This window comes from Homo sapiens, chromosome 10, assembly GCF_000001405.40.
Source record: "Homo sapiens chromosome 10, GRCh38.p14 Primary Assembly".
Lineage (NCBI taxonomy): Eukaryota > Metazoa > Chordata > Mammalia > Primates > Hominidae > Homo > Homo sapiens.
In genome coordinates, this window is record NC_000010.11 from 124,906,149 (window position 1) to 124,910,719 (window position 4,571).

The window sequence follows — 4,571 nt, forward strand, 5'->3', positions numbered from 1 at the left end:
TCCTGACGTATAAAATCAAGAAAGTAAAGTTAATCAATTCATTCAACAAATACTTCTTCAGTAACTGTGTGTGCCACGCACCATTCTGGGTACTCAGGATATATCAGTCAAAATATCTCACATATAGGAAAGGTACTTTCTGTTTACTAGGAAGCTGTTAAAGTTCCAAGTAATGAATGAATACCAGCAGCCAATGAGTTAAGGAATTGTAGAATTCATGCATTACCTCTTATGTGGAATCACTGAATAATTTTGTATGTCATAAAAACTACATTTCTTTCTGATTAGCCCCTTTAAAAATTTTAGCTTGTGTATTTTAAACTTACGTCTACTATAAATCTGCCATATTGAAGGTAATATTGAATATTGTGATCTTGGTTACACTGAAACTGTTGTGCAGATTTTTCTCCTTGGTCCACTATTTGAATTTGTAGATAGTTTTTGAAGCAAATAAGTCATTTGCATGAATCACTTTGGTGAATTTAAGAACTACTCAAATGACGTCATGGATACTTTCGAATATTTTGAAATATTTTTAAACTTTGTGGTCTCCGAAATGACTGGAAAGAAAGGAATGAAAAATATTGTGGCATTCCTAACTTCACTACTTTGGAATTACTTTTCGTTAACATCACTTTAGTGTTTGGCAAAAAGGCAGCATATTTTTAATTCCACGAGTATTGTATAATTAAACATGTAATGAAGATTTAGGTTCTAGATTAGTACATTTTGTCTTGTATAAGACTGTGCCAGCCGGGCACGGTGGCTTACGCCTGTAATCCCAGCACTTTGGGAGGCAGAGGTGGCCGGATCCCAAGGTCAATAGTTTGAGGCCAGCCTGGCCAATATGGTGAAACCCTGTCTCTGCTAAAAATACAAAAATTAGCCAGGCGTGGTGGCGTGTGCCTGTAATCCCAGCTACTCAGGAGGCTGAGGCAGGAGAATCGCTTGAACCTGGGAGGCGGAGGTTGCAGTGAGCCAAGATTGCACCATTGCACTCCAGCCTGGGTAACAGAGTGAGACTCCGTCTCAAAAAAAAAAAAAAAAAAAAAAGGCTGTGTGTATGGTATGTGTGTGTATAAGTGTGGGTGTGTAATGTATATGTATGTGTATATATATGTGTGTGTGGGTATGTGTGGTGTGTGTGTGTATATATGTGTGTGTGGTGTGTATGTGTGTGTGTGTTTGGGATGGTGGACGTGTAACCTTGTAAGCATACATATATATATGTGTGTGTGTGTGTGTGTGTGTGTGTATATATTTATTTTTGAGACAGAGTCTTGCTCTGTCGCCCAGGCTGGAGTGCAGTGACATGATCCCAGTTCCCTGCAACCTCTGCCTCCCAGGTTCAAGTGATTCTCATGACTCAGCCTCCAGAGCAGCTGGGATTACAGGCGCCTGCCACCATGCCCAGCTACTTTTTGTATTTTTAGTAGAGAAGGGGTTTCACCATGTTGGCCAAGCTGGTCTCGAACTCCTGGCCTCAAGTAAACATTCTGCCTCGGCCTCCCAAAGTGCTGGGATTACAGGTGTGAGCCACTGCACACGGCTGTCAGCATTGAAATGGGAAGATATTTGCTTATACAAACTATAAACTGGGTCAATATCCACTCTGAGGTGGTTCACATGGGTTAGACTTAGAGCATATTTGAGGTTGACCAGATGTCAACCCTGCTTCTCAGCTTTCCAGGTGTTCTCATTGAGACATGTCTTGCCCCTCAGTGAGTCACTCATTTTTCCCACTGTCTCCAGTCTGCCTTTCTCCTTCCTCCTTGCTCGGCAAATCATATTCACCTGCAAAACACAGTCACTGCCCATCTCTGTTTTCCAAGGGAACTGCATGGCTTGTCTCCTCTGTGTCCTATGCTGGGACATTACTCATTTGATTATTTGATATGGAATTTGCCTCTCTGTCCTGAAACATTCATAAAATTCAATTTTCCACTAACTTGACTAGGGTTTCTTCACCTTTTCTCTGTCACAGCCAGTTCAGAATAATTTTTAAATGCATGACAGAAATGAGATTACAAGGAAGCCAATTAAATTGAAATATAGTTATTAAAATGTTTTTAAAAATCTGTAATATTAATTGAAGTACTTCTTACTCACTTTTTTTTTTCTTTTTTTTGAGACGGAATCTTGCTCTGTTGCCCAGGCTGGAGTACAGTGGTGTGATCTCGACTCACTGCAACCTCCACCTTCCGGGTTCAAACAATTCTCCTGCCTCAGCCTCCCAAGTAGCTGAGATCACAGGCATGCACCACCACACCCGGCTAATTTTTGTATTTTTAGTAGAGACGGGGTTTCACCATGTTGGCCAGGCTGGTCTTGAGCTCCCGACCTCAGGTGATCTGCCCGCCTAGGCCTCCCAAAGTGCTGGGATTACAGGCATGAGCCACTGTACCCAGACATTTTTTTTTTTTGAGACAAAGTCTCACTCTGTCGCCCAGGCTGGAGTGCAGTGGCGTGATCTCAGCTCACTGCAGCCTCCACCTCCCAGGTTCAAGTGATTCTCCTGCCTCAGCCTCCCATGTAGCTAGGACTACAGGTGCACACCACTACATCCAGCTAATTTTTTTTGACTTTTTAGTAGAGACTGGGTTTCACCATGTTGGCCAGGCTGGTCTCGAATTCCTGACCTCATGTGATCCACCTGCCTCTGCCTTCCAAAGTGCTAGGAGTACAGGCGTGAGTGACCACGCTCAGTCCAATTGAAGTACTTTTTTTTTCTGAGACGGAGTCTCGCTCTGTTGCCCAGGCCAGAGTGCAGTGGCGTGATCTTGACTCACTGCAACCTCCACCTCCTGGATTCAAACGATTCTCTTGCCTCAGCCTTCTGAGTAGCTGAGATCACAGGCATGCGCCAGCACACCCGGCTAATTTTTGTATTTTCAGTAGAGATGGGGTTTCACCATGCTGGCCAGGCTGGTCTTGAACTCCTGACCTCAAGTGATCCTCCTGTCTCAGCCTCCCAAAGTACTGGGATTACAGGCGTGAACCACCATGCCTGGCCTGAAGTACTTCTTTAGTAACCTACTCAATAATGTAATATGATCTAAAAAAATCTATGATTTCTACTGGTGTCAGGGCCATAGATGTATTAATACTACCATAGTATGTTGACTACACTGACAATTGTTATAAATACTGCATTTCAGTTAAAAGTTAGAAGAAATAAAGATGTATTTTCTTTCCATCCAAGTTCATGGGCCCCTCCAGGGCATGGAGACCCTAAGTTAGGGATTGTCCTCCACTGGACTGTTGGCCCCTGTTGTAGATACAGCCTTACCTGTCTCTGAATTGCTGTTCTCAGCACAGTACCTGATATGGGGTCATTCCTCAGTAAATGTTACCTGGATTAAATGAAATGCAGAGCGAGGAAACCAACATTTATCAAACACTTAAGAGTATTGCCAGGCCTTTCAGCTCTTGTCTCTTTGGACCCTCAGTAACTGCCAGGGAAATATCACCCAGAATTTTTCAGATGAGGACACTGAGGACACTGGCACTCAGAGAGGACAGCAGGATTTCAACTCAGGGCTGTTTGACTCCAAAGTTCATGCTCTCTCTGCTCACAGCTTTGCCTCTTACAAAACTTCCCCAGATAAGATCACAAGCGAAGTTGTTTCAGATACTTGATGTTTCCAAACTTCTTAAAAAGATACAACAGCCAGGCGCGGTGGCTCACACCTGTAATACCAGCCTGTGATCCCAGCTACTCGGGAGGCTGAGGGAGGAGAATCGCTTGAACCCGGGAGGCGGAGGTTGCAGTGAGCCGAGATTGTGCCATTGCACTCCAGCCTGGGCAACAAGAGCGAAACTCCGTCTCAAAAAAAAAAAAAAAAAAAAAAAGACATAGTACTGGCTGGGTTTAGTGGCTCACGCCTATAATCCCAACACTTTGGGAGACTGGAGGATCACTTGAGCCCAGGAGTTTGAGACCAGCCTGGATAACATGGCGAAACCCTGACTCTATAAAAAATAAAAAAATTGGCCAGGTGTGGTGGTGCGTGTCTATAGTCCCAGCTACCCAGGAGGCTGAGCCTGGGAGGTTGAGGCTGCGGTGAGCTATGATCACAACACTGCACTACAGCCTTGACGACAGAGTGAGACCCTGTCTCAAAAAAAAAAAAAAAAAAAAAAAAAGAGACTCAATACAACTTCAACATTTTTTTTTCCTAATTCCGTAAGTCTAGCTTACAGGGATACTTAGTTGAAAAATCTACAAAAATTTCTTAGTCTGGATATAGAGTGACTGTGTTCCTATAAGCACAAATTTATACCCATCAAGATGAGACCAGTCCTAGCACAGACCAGGATTTTGAAATGTCAAACAAGCTGTATTTTCTCTGATGCTTCACAAGCATATCTGGTCCTCTCAGGAGAGATTTTTTTTTTCAGGCAGATTTGTGGTGGACATAGAGGAAGGTCACAGGATGGTACTATGTTCCACAAAACTGTGTCCTGTACTGCATGCATACAGATTAGGCAACATTATTAAATACGTTTATTTCCTTTCTTTCCTTCCTTCCTTCCTCCCTCCCTCCCTCCCTTTCTTTCTTCCTTTTTTT